The 18,496-nt window shown below is 39.1% G+C and overlaps 1 protein-coding gene across 4 annotated transcripts, besides 1 other annotated feature; it reads right to left on the bottom strand.

Moving 5' to 3' along the window:
* Positions 1-1,944: 1,944 nt before the first annotated feature.
* Positions 1,945-18,479, bottom strand: DNASE2B (deoxyribonuclease 2 beta). 4 transcript variants are annotated; one of them, NM_021233.3, is made up of 6 exons: positions 18,274-18,479; positions 14,885-15,062; positions 8,445-8,526; positions 5,964-6,125; positions 4,417-4,614; positions 1,945-2,435 (listed from the first exon to the last, which is right to left on the bottom strand). In NM_021233.3, the coding sequence occupies exons 1-6, from the start codon at positions 18,396-18,398 to the stop codon at positions 2,095-2,097; spliced, it is 1,086 nt and encodes a 361-aa protein (NP_067056.2). In that variant the 5' UTR covers positions 18,399-18,479; the 3' UTR covers positions 1,945-2,094. The 4 variants fall into 4 exon arrangements, with proteins under 4 accessions (NP_067056.2, XP_047282581.1, NP_490649.1 ...); XM_047426625.1 differs by lacking the exon at positions 18,274-18,479 and having other exon boundaries at positions 14,885-15,063; NM_058248.2 differs by lacking the exons at positions 14,885-15,062; positions 18,274-18,479 and having other exon boundaries at positions 8,445-8,693.
* Positions 10,023-10,317: a silencer, noted in NCBI's record as "tiled region #5400; HepG2 Repressive non-DNase unmatched - State 24:Quies". NCBI's record gives its function as "represses a minimal TATA promoter and a strong SV40 promoter by Sharpr-MPRA in HepG2 cells {active_cell/tissue: HepG2}" and the evidence as "EXISTENCE:reporter gene assay evidence [ECO:0000049][PMID:27701403]".
* Positions 18,480-18,496: the final 17 nt, after the last annotated feature.

The following is an 18,496-nucleotide window of genomic DNA, read 5'->3' as shown; positions in this document are numbered from 1 at the left end:
AGCATGTTCTTTTTCTTTGTTATACTCCTACACTCTTAATTACACGAATCTAATTATGATTCTCCTCTCCTTCAGATTCAGGGGAGAAGGCTCCTACCTATTATGTATTTTCAGTCCAATAGAATTTCTTCACTTTTGCTTTTTTTTTTTTGCCTTTTCATTCATCTCTCTATTTACCATTGGATCAAGTTTTGGCCCTCTTTACTTTTAAAGTCAGGATCTTGTACTTTAAAATTTTTCTCTTATATTATTTGGATTACTTATGCTTTTTTGGCCTCAGATGCTCTCTCAGAGGCCAAATAATTTTTTTCAGGCCTCTTTATATTTGCAAGAATGTTAGTTAGCTAGATAGCATACAACATAGTTTATGCTTGCTCCTGACAGGAAAACCAAGTTAGTTTTTTCTCTGTTTGTCATTGAACTAGTGCCATGAATTTTGGTTGGTATTGAGATATTAAGATCGATAGCCTCAGAGGTAAGATGGACCTCTATGATACTAGGCAAGTTCCTAAAACTCTGTAGGCCTCAATTTCCTTGTCAGTAAAATGGGGATAATAACAGTTCCTACTACATAGAATTGTTATGAAGATTAAATAAAAATGTAATTAATCGGCCGGGCGCGGTGGCTCACGCCTGTAATCCCAGCACTTTGGGAGGCCGAGGCGGGTGGATCGTGAGGTCAGGAGATTGAGACGATCCTGGCTAACACAGTGAAACCCCGTCTCTACTAAAAATACAAAAAATTAGCCAGGCGTGGTGGCAGGCACCTGTATTCCCAGCTACTCGGGAGGCTGAGGCAGGAGAATGGCGTGAACCCTGGAGGCAGAGCTTGCAGTGAGCCGAGATCGCATCACCGCACTCCAGCCTGGGCAACAGAGCGAGACTCTGTCTCAAAAAAAAAAAAAAAAAAAATTGTAATGAATCCTGAATTACTATGAGTTGAATACTTATTACATAGTAAGTGTTCAGTAAGCGCTAGCTTTATTATTGTTGTGATTACTTTTTCTAGGTTGTAAGCTGCTTGAAATTGTGAACAACACATATGTCAAATATTATTAAGCAATTAGTACTTAACACAAGTTTATTATTATCCATTTATATAACAGTTACAAGTAGTGATAAGAATGCCAGAAAAAGAAACACATTGAAATTAAGATTATTGCATTTGGCTGGGTGCAGTGGCTCATTCCTGTAATCCCAGCACTTTGGGAAGCCAACGTGGGAGGATTGCTTGAGCCCAGTTCAAGACCAGCCTGGGCAACAAAGCAAGACCTCATCTCTATTATTAAAAAAAAAAAAGACTATTGCATTTGATTCTGGTTTCATTATGTTACACTTCTTTATTTCCTTCAAGTTGATGAGTCACACTTATGCAGTTTTTTTTCTCCTAATGTGACTTTAACATTCTTCTTGTAAAATATCACTCATTTCTGAAACTTATTTGTTTTTTTTTTTGCTGGAATTCAAACTCAAATGCCACCATTATTTTTAAGTGTCATCTATGTGCCGGGCTCTGTGCTAGGTACTTGAACATACCTAGCTATTATCTCCCTTTCATAGATTAAAAAAAACAAGGTTCAGAGAATCCAAGTGAATGGCTCAAGATCATCCAATTAGTAAGTAGTAGCTGAAAGAATGACAAATAAGTCTTAACCATAAACCAGTGAGAAAGAACTTTAGGAGCAATATGATCAAATAGTATGGAAGAATACGCAGAGAGAGTTATTTGCTTTTCTTCAAAAAAGGGTGGGGAAGAGAGTCAGGGAAGTCTTTGTGAAGGAGAGGAAATGTAATCTACTAGGTGGCCAGTCAATCCATAAACAATTGGAGTTGACTAATGTGGAAAAATATTTTTCTTTTTATTTCTTCTATTCTCAGTTGTGTATAATGGTTTATGTCTATGATATATAGTGCAAAGTAAATAAATTACCATTAAATAGAAGATTAAATGGTAAACATGAGAGAAAAATGTTTTATTTTGTGATATGCAGGTTATAAGTATATTCACAGGCCTTTAAAATATAAAGAAGGTGTAATGGAAGAAGACCCATTGTCAAGGTTTTCAATGATAGTACCTGTGTCCTTTCACCAAGTTTACTTACAGCTTTCATAGTATAATACTAATCCTTGAAATGCTTGGTAAATTTGCCAATTCTGGGTACAAATGAATCCTCCACTTCTGAAGGCTTGGTGTGGACTCCGATTTAGGTCTCCAATACATGTCCAGCGATTTTTGGTGCCCTTTTGGGAAATACACCACTTGGCATGATCTTGATAAGAACTGAAATAAGAGTGTCGTGATAATTTAATTGCTTTTATATTGTAGACATGGTAAGGAAGGGAGCAGTTTGAAGGAAGCTCTTGTCTTTTTCGCTGCCAGGTTTCTGTTAACAAGTGTGTCTTCAGCCGTTGAGCCATCCAGGCTGCAAAGATGTCTAGGGTTTAGGAGGAGAAAGATAGTGAGGTTGGTATTTACACTTAGATTAGTCCCTGAAAATATACTCTGGAATGGAAATCATCTTTCACCCCTGATATGTGGATGTCACGAGCACAATAATAACAACATAATTGAGATAGTGGATGAGAAAACATTTTGTAAATGCTAAAGTGATGTGCAAATGTAAGTTATTATCATCATTACTATGATGATGTTGGTGTTTGCAAACATCTTCTGTTCTATAAAACGAATGAAGCAATATATGTCTTTGTCCTGGAAAGACCTTTGGAAAAAATTAGTCTAGAGAAGGAATTAGGGCCAGTTTCTAGGGAACTTTGTAAATCATGCCAAAGTGTTTGGATTTTCCTGAAATCAGTGGAGAGTTTTTAAAGGAATGTTAGTAAAGAATTAATAGAAACTGGTTTATGATCATAAATATCAGTTGAGAGGCAATGGGCAGGATGAATTGGGAAGGACAGGTTAGAAAGAAGAAAGGAAAAACATAAGGCTGTCATAATAACTGTGTCAATAAACACAGGTGTGACCCATGGCAGTGGCAAAGAGTTTGGAGAAGATACAATACATGTGAGTGTTATTAAGGATCTGGAACTGACTGAATTTGATGGTTTGATAGAAGGGTCAGAAAAAGAAGAGATGGGGAGTGACTGGGTAACTATGCAGAATACAAGAAAAAGTAGATTTGTAGGGGATGATGACGCAGTGAGTTTGGCATGTTGAACTTGATGTGGCTGTACCACCTTCAAGTAGAAATGTCTCACTTGCTGTTAAATACATCAGTCAGTATAGAGGTCTGGGGTAGAGATCAAGACTTGAGAATCATTGGAGGGCTTGCTGGAATTGCCCAGCATGGGTATGTAGAATGAGATAAGGAAGGGTAGGGGCCACATGGCAACCCAGTCACCTAAAGAGTAGTCAGAGGAAAAGGACCTGGCAGAAGAAACTTAGAAGTGGGAGAAAGACCAGGGGACTGCGTGTTCCCCAAAATCAGTGAAGGTGAGAGTTTCAAAAAGGAAAGAATTTCAACAGTGCCACATTCTGCAGAGACTGTCTCTGTCCTGTCAAGTTTAAGATCTCTAGTGCCTAACACAGGGCTTGGCTAGTAGTAGGCATTCAGTAAATTTTATTCAACGTATAAAGGAAGGAAGCAAATAAGCAAGGAAGACAGTGAGGTCATCTAAGACAGCCATTGGTGACTGGGGAGAGATTCAAGTGTCTACAGACAGAAGCAAGACTGCAGTGAAGGAACATTGAGCAAGTGAAGGCCCTGATGAGTTTTAAAAAAATAAATCTGAAAGAAAAGGAAAAATAGAGCTATAGATGCTTTAGAGTTGAGGGAGGGTTTTTAGGCATGTTTGTATGTTATGAGAAAGTAGCCTGGGGAGTGGGAGAACTGAAATGGAACACAGAGAACAGATCAGGTGGACAAATCAAGGTATGCTGAGGCTGAGATAGGTTTCAGAGCATAGGGGGTGCATCACTTCTTTGGGGGTGGGAGAAACCCTGCAAAAAGGAAGGAGAACAGATAAGATTGTTGGAGGGGTGGGGGGGGGGTAGCATATAGAAGTGGTTTCTCCCTAGTGAACATTGTTCTATTTATGAAGGAAAAAAGGAAGCCATGAGTGAGGGTGCAGAGTAGTGTAAAGGGCTTGAGAGTAAAGAAGGCTTAAAATAACCACTCAGGGAATGGAAGAAATGGAGATGGCTATGGCCCCTTGCCAAGCAGAGGATGGAGACTGAGTTTTCACTGGCCCGTGGCTGGATGGTTGTGAGATACTTTTGTGGTTGACTCATATAGCCGGCTGATGTTTGAACTGATCCGTGACTTTCCTTTTTCCTTTTCTTTTGCTCCCTTTTTTCATCTCTCTTTCTCTGAATACTCAAAATATTTCTCTAAGCTATCCCTAGTCAGTTCAACAGCAGAATTATACAGCATGTTGTTTGATGATGGTCTTTCATACCGTCAAGAAAAGAATCCGACTTTGCAAAATGGAGGAATTTTTGTCCCTGGGCCGACTGAAGTGTGGTGAGGAGCCTGCCAGGAATCTCTGATGAGCTGGCCCTGGTGCACAGCTGGGGCATGTGAATGAGCTCCTGGTGAAAGGTGGCTGGGATGGAGCAGCTATAGACGTTGGGGTTGCAGACCAAGAGCTGAGAATCTGAATCAAGAAACAGTAAAGAAAAGTTGAGAATTAAGACACAAATGGAAATACCTGCTGTTATTATAGATCTTTTTGTGGATTTAAAAACAAAACAACACAAAAACAAAGGCATTTCTTTCTTTAAACCAATAGCCTTCAAATAACTTTTTGTTTAAATAACTAACACCTGTTAAGCACTTCCTAGTTTCCAGACATGGTCCTACAAGTTTTACATGGGTTTATTCATTTAATCCTCACAGCAAACATGTTATCAGGCAAATTCTGTTGTTATCATTATCTTTACTTTATAGATGAATTAACTGAGAATTTACATCACACACCCAAGATTATGAAGTTTGTAATTGATGAAATTGATATTCGAACCCAGGTAATTTGGCCTTGGAGACCATATATTTTTTCTTCTAAATGTACATATACATATACAAAAGTTGAGAACTCCATGTACCAAAAAGCTTTAAGAATCATCATCTCCTCAGTGTGCATGCCTAATCTCTGTGATATTCGGCATCATTACATGATTTCAACTAGTGAGACTAGAGCTTGACTTGGGTGAGGAGCTCAGTGATCCTTGCCATAAGATGGAAATTTGATGAGAAACATTTTCTAAATCTCCTGTTTCTATAGGCAAGTTGCTTTTCACTACTATTTAGCTACCAACCTGTCCCTACTTCTCCTTTCCCACCACAGTTTGCCAAATCTAAGAATTTTTCGCTGAGCTTGAAATCTTAAAAGGAGATTATCTGGCTCAGAGGTGTCATGTTTGTGGCCTACAAGGAACATGTGGCCTGGAAAACTTCAAAAACAAAATTAAGATTGAACTCATATTTGGAAATCAGTTTCTCTCTCTCTCTCTCTCTCTCTGACACACACACACACACACACACACACACACACACACACACACACACACACACACACACCCTAGGTTTCTGGTACTTCATGAGAAATAAGGAGATCTGTAATCATTAGGCTTGTATTCCTGTAGAGCCACAGTATGATGGAACTGAGGCTTTAAGGGAAGCTAGGTGAGTCAACACCCCAGTTCATCACTATCCTCACTTCCCATGTAACATGTCTGTTTCACTCATATATGTTATCTACCAGGCCCCTGAATACATTTGAAACTACTGCCCTGATCAAGTTCAACAACTGCACTGGTAGATTAAGAGCCAAAGCCCAGTAAGCGAGCCTGCCCAAGACCTCACCATGGCAAAGCCAGTATTAGAATCTAGGTATCAGAGGGTCTATGAATAGATTAACAAATGAAGTGACACATTTATGAATATATTTCCAAATCATTTCTTCAACATAGTTATCGTTTTTTTTCTCACATACTTTAGTTTTACCTATTGCCTCATACTGGTTGTACTTGAAAGTTATGCAGATGCCACTTTGTCCATTTCGTCTCCCTGTGGGTGGATAATCATAGCCTTCTTCCGGAATTGGAGGAAACTGAGGGATGGAATGAATCAGCCAGAACCCTTGAACTCTGTTCCACAGCAGTAAACCTACCAAAGACACATTTAACAAAGATAAATCAGAAAAACAAAGCTTCTTTTATAATAGGGTTCACAGTGGCAACATTTAAGCCCATTTATGCTTCAGACTAGTGTTTTATTAGGCTAATAATCACAAGGATCATGCTTATTTTTCAAAGATTTCAAATACAATTCTGGCACATATCACATTGCCTGATTACTGATAAAAAGCCACCACGAAAAGGGAACCAAGGTAGCCATCCTGTGAAGAGTTAAGAGGAATTTCATTTTGAAATCACAAGGAAAATTTGTTTTGGCAGAATGCAAATTTGCTAAATTGGAATTGGACCTTGTTAAACTATACAGTCACCTAGCAAGATTTAGATAGTGTCTTCACTGCTAAGCAGCTAGGCTCTTTTCAAAAGCTGACTAAAAAACAGAGTTGAAAGAGAAAATATCAAATGAAGAAATGTACTCACAATAATTTGTTATAAAAAACTGCTGCCCATTTATTGGCAGAAGAGTCACTATTTCTACAAGCCCAATAAAAGAAGCAAAGAGACAAAAAGGAAGCTGTGCTAAAGCATCCTAGTTAATTACGTTTGTAAAAATCTCTAGAGCAAAATAAACAACTTGAAAGCCAATAAGGAAGAAAATAGAAAGATTTTTATCATTTTGTGACATACCAAAAAGAACTTTGTAAAACAGACATCTGACTATTTTTGTGTTTAGAAATTTATCATGGTAGGTTTGGTATGATAGCTAGACTTTCCAGTTTGCATATGACTATGCAAACATAAGATTCACTCGTGTTTGCCTAAGTGTTAGATTAAAAACCAAATGCCTTCTAGTTATTTTTTTTTCAAAGTGCCTATTTTAAGAAAGCATACTGTTGTTCTTTGGGTGGAAATAGAATCAATACCTGTGTCAAGGTGGAAAATATTGAAAGTTCTGTGTGTAACAGAACTGGATAACCTTCAAGAGTTATCCTCTGTGCAGATGAGTGTGCCAATTTGCTGGAATCCTATCCTCCTGGTACAAATGCCATAGGATATTAGGGCATCTGTTGGCCAAGAGAACCCCTCCACTTGATATTGTGCCCTACTTCTTTAGAGCCATTTCCCCAAAGCCTTGTGGCAGTTAGCAGGGTAGAGCAGGAATAGTGTGGGAGATTGTTGGAGGAGAGGTTGAAGAATGTAGCATGTTATGAAAATTGTTGGGTTCCCAGTAAATAGGGTATTCAGGAGAGCAACTTTGCTAAATAAAAAGCTTTCAAAGTTCATGACCTTTGTCAGCCATTACAAACTATATTCTAAATCAGAGGCTGCAAACTGACATCCTCTGAGCCAAATCCAGCCTGTGGATACATTTTATTGCGCTTGCAGAGTATTTTTTAAACTTTGAATTTAGTGCCAACATTTAAAAACTGGGGAGTTTTTCCACAAATATTAATTTTCAACATCTCCTGGAAAATTGTGTCCGTATCAGGCAAGTTGAATAGTAACTGCCTCCTTTCACTTGCTGACATCATTTGCCTGCTCCCTTGAAGGCATTTGAATTTGGAATCTTCTGAATACTTGTTGCCATGGAAAGTTATTTATGATATATGAAATTGAAAAAAGGTTGAAAAATAGTCATTACAGTAGTTTTGTAAAAATGTTTTAAAATATGTATTTTAGAAAAAGTAGAAAGGATTAAATATGGTTTATCTAATGGGCATTAGGATTATAGATTTTTTTGTTTACCTGTATTTTGAATTTTTCTGTAGTTCACAAACACATATGCAAAGTTTAGAAATAAAAAAATTGTGAAAGGATAATAAAAATTATATGTGATAATGTAAATAACATGATAAAAATTAATATAAAAAGCTATTTAAAATACTTTTTCAAAAATGTATATTTCCAAGGGAACTGTATGTTAAGAAGAGCTCGTTTTACTCTCTATAAATCATACTTCAATAAATCTGACTAAAATGTGTTTGTACATATATACTACATGCACATATACATATATACATATTCATGTGCATATATATATATATATATATAAAATTGCTGGTGTGTGTGTGTGTCCTCAGTATCAGTACCTGGATTCCTGCTGCTGCAAAGCAAATATTTTAAAATATGTTAAGAAATAAAATGGGATTTCTAAAAATGAGATTGCCAAGTCAAATCATATAATTATATTATAACCAGTGATATAGAAGTCATACATTTCAATAACTCAAATAAACTATTAAGAAGAAAGGCTATCTATTTAGTATGGAATATAAGGATACTCAAGATGAAATATTTAAGAAATTGTTGATTTCCAGTAGGAAAGAGAAACCAAGAATCTTTGTCATACCTTTGGTGTGTCCATACTTTCTGCTGTAATTCACAGGTTTAGGGACTCCATCATTGTATATTAGATAGGCTGTGTTGTTACTCTGCAGGAATATATTAGGGTTATAATGGCGTAAATCTTCCACTTACAAACGCCCACAACATTTCTACCAGCTACCCAGCCTGCAATACATTGCTTTCATTAATACACATGAGAAGTCATCTATTCCCCTAATAGGCAGCTTCCCCATCAATATGAAGCCTGTGACATGAAAGACAGGGGAAAGAAAGTCCATTTTTAACTGTGCATGATTTTTACTCATGTGACAGGAGCCCTGTGCATTGTGATCTGTGTGTGAGGGCAATGTTCCTATTTCTCTTGGTTGTTTTGGAACCAAGTTTCTGATTAAGCAACCAGTGTATAATAAAGGAGTACTGAATTATTTGTTCAGGAAATGAAGTAGGAACAACCAACCAAGGATTACATCTGAGGTTTTTTCCATTGATATTATAGGCACAGTGCAGAACTGGCTGTCAGGATCTGATTTTCTCTGCACACTTTGTGCTTCACTTCACTGCTGGGTAGTAGCGTTGTGTTTAATCAGGATCCCTCATTATCTGCTCTCCCTTCCTCCCATTATGAGAGGATTTTTCTGCAATCCATTTTTCAGTGTCACTTCACCTTTCCAACTTGATATTTTCCTGCTTAAAAAAAGTGGTGAAATTTACTGTGTGATATTGGATTTCCTCTGGTAAGGCCAAATATGAGTCAATTTTCAAACAGCCAAATCTTAGAGCCAAAATAAAGCTATTATTTCGATAGTATCTATTTTTCATGTTTTAGAAACTTGCTAATATTTGTTCTAGGTGGTTCCATTTAATTTGTGTGATGATACAACTTTAATTGAAGCCAATAATGTCAATATTAAAAAAATCTGAGTGACATAATTAAAAGCAGGAAAGGATAACCTATGTCCTTAAAAAAGGCCCTTGCTTTTTTCTTAGAAAACAAATTCAATGAAGAAGCCTCTCACAGTTGCTTAATTATATGATGTGATAAAATTTTTTTTTCAATGCACAACATAGTCTGTTGGAGCATTCTTGTCTACTGTGCTTAGGAATGCCCCGAAAAGTAAGCTGTTTTCTTACCTTCATTTTCCATAATTGATCATAGCTACTGAATGGCATTCATATCATCATTTGGAGAACTCTGAAGAGTTAGTTACTCTGTGAACCTGCATTGAATGTGGTAAGGAGGCCATTTGTGTGCCTTTGGGGTACAACATGGAGGAATTCTGGGATGATCCAGTGAGGAATTTATTTTTTATGATAAATGAAGTTTATTGTTCTAACTGAGTGTAACTGCCAGCTGAGGTTAAGTGGATTGTAGCCTTAGTTGGAAGAGAGGCTATTGATAAAGGGAAAAGATCATGGACTTAAGAGTAGGTAGATGTAGGCATGTGCCTTTGAATAGCTTTATTCCTTTAACACATATGTTCAGTATTGTTTTGACTATTGAGTGTTGAACAAGAGGGGTACAGTCTCTGCCCCCTGTCTAGCAGAAAATATAGTCACACAAGTGCAGGCAATATAGTTTGATAAATGTTTATGAAGGTACACGGAAGATTCTTATTTGTAAAGGCAAGAGAAGGGAAACAATTCCAAATGTAACCCAGCTATTGGCCTTGGTCACCTTCACATTTGAGATTTAAACCAGTTGGTCTAATCTTGCATTTCACTCTCTGTCAGAGGTTCAATTCCAGGTCAGGGGGTGGAGGAGTAATATTCTCACAGTCACTTCTGGCACATAATTCCAGCTTCCAAAGAACACTGAGTCATACCTGGATATCACCAACTGCTGTTGCTCTCTTCTTTTGGCTCTATGCCAATCAGGCATGGAAATCAGTCCCTTTCCTGTCATTTTCCCCCCAGAACCAATCACTCAAGACATTGCATGTGGCAGGTTTTACTAAAGGTAAGAAATATTGAATGGTTTTACATCACCATAAGGCCTTACCCCAGTCTTTCTCCATGTTTCTTATGCTTTTTAATCCCTGGCTTCTTTCTGTCCCTTTTTTGTTTAGCAGAGCAGTTTAACTGTGTCTCCCTGCTAGGGTGTGGGGCTACCTTTGCACCTTCAAAGATCATTATTGTATTCCGGCAAGTGAAGGCCTATCTACTCCAACTAAGGCAAATGATAGAGGCTTTACAATGTTGCTCTTTCCTTCTTCCTCCCCTAGCAGTCTCGTTGATGTGGAAAGGAACAATGTAGGCATTATTTTCCCACTAATAGATATGCTTCTGGTCCCCATCCCCAACCTGGAAAGCAGAAGCAGCTGCAGGCGTTTTCATTTTATATAATACGGTTGGCCCTTGGGTTTGAACTGCATGGGTCTATATGTATGCAGGCCTTTAAAAACATATGTTGGAAAATTTAGGGGGAGATTTTTGACAATTTGAAAAAAAAAACTCACAGATGAACCACATAGCCTAGAAATATTTTTAAAAATTAAGAAAAAGTTAGATACATTATGAATGCATACAATATATGTAGATACTAGTCTATTTTTTCATTTGCTGCCCTAAACTATGCACAAATCTATTATAAAAAGTTAAAATTCATCAAAATTTACATATACAAACATAGACCAAACATGGTGCCATTCACAGTCAAGAAATATAAACAAACATAAATATGCAGTACTAAGTCATAACTGCATTAAATTAACTGTAGTAATACTGTACTACTGTAATAATTTTATAGCCACCTTTTGTCACCATTGAGGTGAGCTCAAGTCTTGTGAATATCTGCTGAAAATGCCACATGACACTAACAACCTCCACGTGAGCAGTTCTCTCCAGTAAATTGCATACTGTAGTCAAAAGTGATCTCTCACAGCTCTTGCATATTTTTCATCATGTTTGGGGCAATATCAGAAACCTTGAATAAAACCGTAGGACCTATACTGAGTGCCACTGCTGATGCTGGAAATGCTTCTAACAAGCAAAGACAAGTCATGACATTATAAGAAGATGTTGAATTGCTTGATATGTACTGCGGATTGAGGTCTGCAGCTTCAGTTGCCTGCCATTTCAAGTTAAGTGAATCCAGCATAAGAGCCATTGTGAAAAAAGAAAAGGAAATTTGTGAAGCCCTCACTGCAGCTATGCCAGTAGGCATGAAAACCTTGCACTTTTTACAAAATACTTTTATAGCTCATACTTAAAATTAAAATGCAGCTTTTATATGGGTGCAAGATTGCTATAAGAAAGGAATACTATAGACTCTAATATGATTGGAGAAAAAGTGAAGTCACTATATGACAAAGCAGAAGGAAGGTAGATCATCTAAAGCTGGAGAATTTAATACCAGCAAAGGATGGTTTGACAATTTTAGAAAGAGGTTTGGCCTAAAAAAAAAAAAATTAAGATAACAGGAGAAGCAGCTTTTGCTGACCAAGAGGCAGCAGATGAATTCCCAGATGCCATCAAGAAAATCATTGAGGGGAAATAATTTCTTCCTGAGCAGGTTTTTAATGCAGATGAAAATTCCTTATTCTGGAAAAAAGTGCCACAAAGGACACTTATTGGTAAGAAAGAGAAGCAAGCATCAGGATTTAAGGCAGGAAGGGACAGACTAACTGTACTGTTTTGTGCAAATGCAGTTGGGTTGATAATCAGGACTACACCTATCTATAAAGCTGCTAACTCTTGAGCCTTGAAGGGAAAAGATACATACCAGCTGCCAGTTGTACAATAAGAAGGCCTGGGCAACAAAACCCTTTTTCTAAATTGGTTCCAGTGATGCTTTGTCTCTAAAGTTAGAAGGTACCTTGCCAGTAAGGAACTGCCTTTTAAAGTTCTTTTGGTATTGGATAGTGCCACCGGGCACTAAAAGTCCCATGAGTTCAACACCAAAGGTGTCAAAGTTGTCCACCTGCCCCCAAACATAATGTCTCTGATTCAGCCTCTAAATCAGGTTCATAAGAACCTTTAAGACTCATTACATATGATGCTCTCTGGAAAGGATTGTCAGTGCTATGGAACACATGATAGAACACATGAAAGGATTACAGCGTTGAAGATGCCATTTCTGTTATAGGAAAAGCCATGAAAGCCATCAAGCCCAAAACAATACATTCCTGCTGGAAAAATCTGTGTTCAGATGTTGAGCATGACTTCACAGGATTTATGACAGAGTCAATCAAGAAAGTCATGAAAGAGATTGTGGATATGGCAAGAAAGGTTGGGGGTGATGGATTTCAAGATATGATTCCTGGAGAAATTCAAAAGCTAATAGACACCACACTAGAGAAATTAACAGAACATAACTCAATGGAACCAGAGCCAGATGATGAGCAAGAAGACATAGAAGAGGTGGTGCAAGAACACAGATCAATATTAGACGCAGTCTGATCATTCAAGGCTGCTTTTAGGCTGGGTGCAGTGTCTCATGTGTATAATCCCAGCACTTCAGAGGCCAATATGGGTGGATTGCTTGAGTCCAGGAGTTTGAGACTAGCCTGGGTAACATCATGAAACCCTATCTTTACCCACCCCCTCCGCCAAAAAAAAAAAAAAAAAAAATTAGCCAGGCATGGTGGTGCATGCCTGTAGTCCCAGCTACTCCAGAGGCTGAGGTGGGAGGGTCACCTGGGCCTGGGAGGTCGAGGCAACAGATAGCTCTTATGGTGCCACTGCACTGCAGCCTGGGTGTCGAATGAGATCCTGTCTCAAAAGAAAAAAATATAAAGATTGCTTTTAACTTCTTTTACAACATGAACCCTTCTGTGATACGGGCACTGAAACTAAAGCAAATGGTGAAAAAATGATTACTACTGTATAGAAACATTTTTGGAGAAATGAAAAAGCAAATAGATAGAATTCATTATGTATTTTCATGTGAAAGTTACACTGAGTATGCCTGCCTCTCTTGCTTCCCCTTCCACCTTCCCCACCTCTCCCATCTCTGCCACCCCCGAGATAGCAAGACCAGCCCTTCCCCTTCTTCCTTCTGCTCAGCTGACTCAACAGGAAGATGACAAGGATGAAGACACTTATGATGATCCATTTCCACTTAATGAAGAGTGAATATATTCTCTCTTCCTTAATGATTCTCTTAATAACATTTTCCTTTCTCTAGCTTACTTTATTGTAAGAATATAGTATATAAGATATATAACATAAAAATTACATGTTATTCGACTATTGATGTTATCAGTAAGGCATCCAGTCAAACTGATGTTATCAGTAAGGCATCCAATAGGCTGTTAGTAGATAAATTTTTAGGAAGTCAAAAGTTGTACATAAATTTTTGACGGCATGAGGGCCGGCACCCCTACCCCAGCATGGTTCAAGGGTCAGCTGTCGTCTGTTTATTCAAAGCAGGTTTGTTGAGACAAATAATTTTGAAAAGCATCTAGAAAAGTGCTTGGCACATCACATGTTCTCAAATAGCCTACAGATAAGCTTTAACTTTGTAGCTTGGCTCTGAAGGCTAGTCTTAATGGCAGGTAAATAACATGAATATTACCACACACCATGACAGTTCCGTGTGTATTTTGAGTAAATACTCAGATACACATGTGCAGTGCCAGAGGCTAAAACAGGATTGTTGTGGGCATTAAATTACTTGACATATGTAAAGGCCCAGCATACAGTCCAGCATATTATAGGAGCAGAGTCATGTTATATATTTACTTGTCTATAAGTTATTGTTAGGAAATGCATACATGAGTATAATTGGATGTTAATCATGGCTTGATTTTACTTGCCACTCCTGGTTGGAAAGCAGTATCTTGAAACTAAGCAACAGATGATGCCTAGAATATTGGGAGCATGCCCATAATAAGCCAGCAGGCCTACTTACCTGTGTCTCTTTGGCTGATTAGCTCATTGCCTGATAAAGTCCAGATATAGCAGGGATAATCTCCATCCAGACAAGTTAGTTCTAGGGCCTTGAACTAGAGTCCTAGTTTTCAACATATCATTTTGAAAACAATTAATGAAAAGGAAGATCAAGTAGAACCCTTTACTGAGCTCACCACCACTGATCAACACCATGATATAAACAATCCATAACTCATAGCATGTTAATCACAGTTCTGTATTGCCCTGTAACAGCAGAGGCTCCTCTCCCTATTTCTATTAGATGAATAAGCAAACTGACAGACATTTTGGCAGCCAGAAGACTTCAATATACAATTAATTCACACCTTGCCTAGTGACACCACTGGACATGGTGCCAAGTAAATTTGGCATTGCTGTAGAGTATGATGACATGTTTCCTCAGGTCTTAGTCAGATTGACTCAGATAGTTGTCTTGAGCTGGTCCTGAGCTAGCTCACTTCAAGGTGCTAGGATTGGGGGTTGGGTGGGTGAACAGAAAACTCTGGTGAAGGCTTTGGATTCAGTTTTATGCATTTTATATTATTCAAGTGAACAATTAACTATATAACATACCTTAGAGGCATATGCTTCATATAGCTGTTGTAATGTCCTTCCCAAAACACTCTTGGTGTCATTCATTAGTTGCTCACTCTTCCTCCAGCTTCTAGTTGTAGAGTCTAGGTACAGGTACTCTAACCCAGTCTCTCCACTTTCCTTGTTTTGTCTTTTAGGTAACTTATAAAAAGTAAACCTAACAGACAAAATGATTATGAATTACTAACATTTATTGACTGTTTTCCTGTGGCAGTAACTGTATTACACACTTTAATATATCTCTCATTTCTGTTTCATGGAAGGCCTCTAAGGAAAGGGATTTGCTCAAGCTCTTTGCCTCTTTCTTCACTCTTATCTTTGCTCCTCCCCAGAGAAGAAAATAAAAATCTGATTGGATATGTTCTAAGACCTTGGTTATACTGGTGGGTGGAGTCCCTGAAGTGGAAGTCCATATACATTGAGAGTGGCTCTTTCTGTTGCTTCCATGATCCATGTGGCTACAGTGGAGAGAAGGCCAAGGCCCAGACCATGCAGTTGGCTGACTGGATATGAGATTTGGGTTTGGGCTTCAGGAGAGGTGGAAGGTACTTTGAGCCCCTGTCATAAGCTGCATTCCTCAGCTCAGTTTATCCGAATACTCTGCCTTGAAGATTCAGGGCTAAAACCAAGTAATTAAGTAGGCCCTTTCCTTCCTTTACTGTTGTTTTCCATTTGTATATCTCCCTTGGATATCTCACAGGGAGGAGAGGTAGCTCAGCCAAGACAGCATTAAGGCATTATTGGATTACCTAGCTCAGCGTTTCTCAGTGTGCTCTATTCACATTTTCAGCCGATCATTCTTTGTTGTGGGAGCTGTCCTGTGCATTGTAAGATCCCTGCCCTCTACCTATTAGATGCCAGTAGCACTGCCAAGTTGTGACAATCAAAATTATCTCCAGACATTATCAAAAATCCTCTGAGGGCAAAATTACCCTCGGTTGAGAACCACTGATCTAGCCAAATACTTTCTAATAGCATGAACCCCACCATTAACCCCTAAACACTCACAGTGCACCAAACATTATAATATATACACTATTACCATACAACAGTGTCACAAACCCGTAAAAGCTGCACACTCTTCACTTGGTCCCCTTCGGTCTTATACTTAATTTAAGTGAACTCTTTCCTGCCCTGCTTATGCTTTCTTACAGGGTCAGGTCCTCACATGTGGCAGGAAACATGAAATTATTCTTTGGTGCTGACTTGATGGTCTCTTTCCTTACCTTTCTCAATAAATGTTAGCAGCTTGGCAACAAGTTGCTTATATTCTCTCTAACAGACATTGCTAAGTAATATGTCCATTCACTTGTGGCAAAAATGATTTTCCATATCAATCACAATTTGGTGGCCCACCAGTGAAGGGTTTGTGAACTATCAGTGTGCCGTGGCACACCAGTTGAGAGCTAGTACTTTTAAACATTTTTCCTGGGTGACTGTCTCTAATTATGTACTCAAGAGTCCTCAGTCTGTTTCTAGCCCAGACCTTTCTGCTGAGGTCCAGAGAAACCTAAACTCAAAGATGTCCCATTAACCCCCAACTCCGTATTTTTGAAACCAAATTTATAATATTTTGCTCCAAATCTGCTCATCCCACACTATTAGGGAACATATTCATGCAGTCTCAGAAGCAGAAGCCTAAAATTATTTCTTTCTTTTTCTTTCTTGTTTTGTTTTTTGTTTTTTTTTGAGACGGAGTCTCATTCTTGTTATTCAGGCTGGAGTGCAATGGCACGATCTTGGTTCACCACAACCTCCGCCTCCTGGGTTCAAGCAATTCTCCTGCCTCAGCCTCCCATGTAGCTGGGATTACAGGCATGCGTCACCATGCCTGGCTAATTTTGTATTTTTAGTAAAGATGGGGTTTCTCCATGTTGGTCAGGCTGGTCTTGAACTCCTGACCTCAGGTGATCTGTCTGCCTAGGCCTCCTAAAGTGCTGGGCTTACAGGCGTGAGCCACCACGCCTGGCCAACCTAAAATTATTTCTTAACATCTCCCTTTCTCCTACTGGCTGCAGCCCATCCATCACCAAGTCTTCTCAGCATGTCCTTCTTTCTATTTCCATGACCGCTTCTTTAACTCAGGTCTACACCTCTTCTCACCTGTAATGCTGCAAAAGTGCTCCTGGTCTCAGTGATTCTAGGCTGCTCCCCATCCATCCAGCCCTCATAGTACTGCCAATGGGTTTCCTAAAGTGCAAATCTGACCATTCACACCCCTGCGTGAAGTCCTCCAATAGCTCCCTTTCAATGTCAAGTTCAAACCTTGTAGCTCAGCACACAGACCCCTTGGCTGTCCCCACCTCTCTAACCTCACCTCCGGTCATCTTCCTGTATTCTCCTGAAGTTCCAGCAATACCAAACTACTTTGCAACTCCCAAATTTCCATGTTGCTTCTTGCCTCTCTACCTCCTCATTGCTCCTTCATTGGCCTGAGATGCTCTTGCACATCCCTTCTTTTTCCAGCTACTTCTTAATTGTTCTTAAAACTTAGCTCAAAAATTACATCCTTAGAGAAGTTTTCTGGGCTCTCTGTTCCCCAGTGTTCCACCTATGCCCTTACCACATAACTGTGAGGTCCTTGAGGGTAGGAACCATGTTTCGTTCATATTTATATTTTCAAAACTCCACACAGACCTCTGTTGAGCTCAGTAACTGAGGAAAGACTGACTACTGCCTTGAGTATATCTGTGTTCTGTAGCCTGAAGTTTACACAAAAAGCTTGACACCAACCATTATGGCAAACCTAAATATCCCAATTAAAGGGTGAAAAAGTAGTTAAAGCTTTAGGAGAACCCATGACTATAATGCAACACAGCATTTAATGTCTTTGACACTGTACAACAGGCCAGTGGCCTACGTACCAATCATGGCAACAGCTGCCTCTGCTTCCAAACAAACCGATGTTAGGCAAACAGTGCTGTGTGTGACCAGGTCCCCCTTCTCTTTCTCATAAGGAGCAGCACATGCTCCATTTTCAGAAAAAAATAATCTGCCTTCTTTACTCTGTCAGTCTTTCAAAGGATGTTGGAAGTGTTCTGTTAGGAAAAGCCATGATGTAATTAAAAGAAATTGCCAGCTCACAGAAGCTGTCAGCTCAATCCCACTTCTGTGGCTACCAGCCTTGCCCCGCTGAGAACAGTGAATCAGGCCCAAGAGGGGCTGCTCAGCTCTTTTTCAGGGGGAAACTCCGTCACTCAGAAGCCTACCCCTGCCTGGGAGTTTGGCCGATTTGCACACTTTAACTTCCTTTATTTGTAAAGGGAGGAAAGAGAATGGACATTCCCCTTAGGAACTTCGCAGTGAGCCAGGCCAACTCTGTACCGAGGCTGTTTGCATGCAGCAGTCCTTCCATTTCATTTACCTACCAGTCCACAGCTTTCCCTTCTTCATTTCTGCATGAAATTGTTGCTGCCCCCAGCACCCCAAAGAGGCCAAGGAAGAGCAAAGCAAAGGATGTTCTTAGCAGTCTTGCCATCATTTTCTGTTTCATTTATTTCATGCCACAGCAGGACACTTTCCCCATAGATTGTGGAGTCTGAGTTTCAAGGCGCTCTCAGGCTGTGCTGGCTCTGACGTTTGATTTGATTT

Source organism: Homo sapiens, chromosome 1 (genome assembly GCF_000001405.40).
Source record: "Homo sapiens chromosome 1, GRCh38.p14 Primary Assembly".
Taxonomy (NCBI): domain Eukaryota; kingdom Metazoa; phylum Chordata; class Mammalia; order Primates; family Hominidae; genus Homo; species Homo sapiens.
The sequence above is the reverse complement of the archived record's forward strand: the minus strand, read 5'-3'. Positions and strand labels throughout refer to the sequence as shown.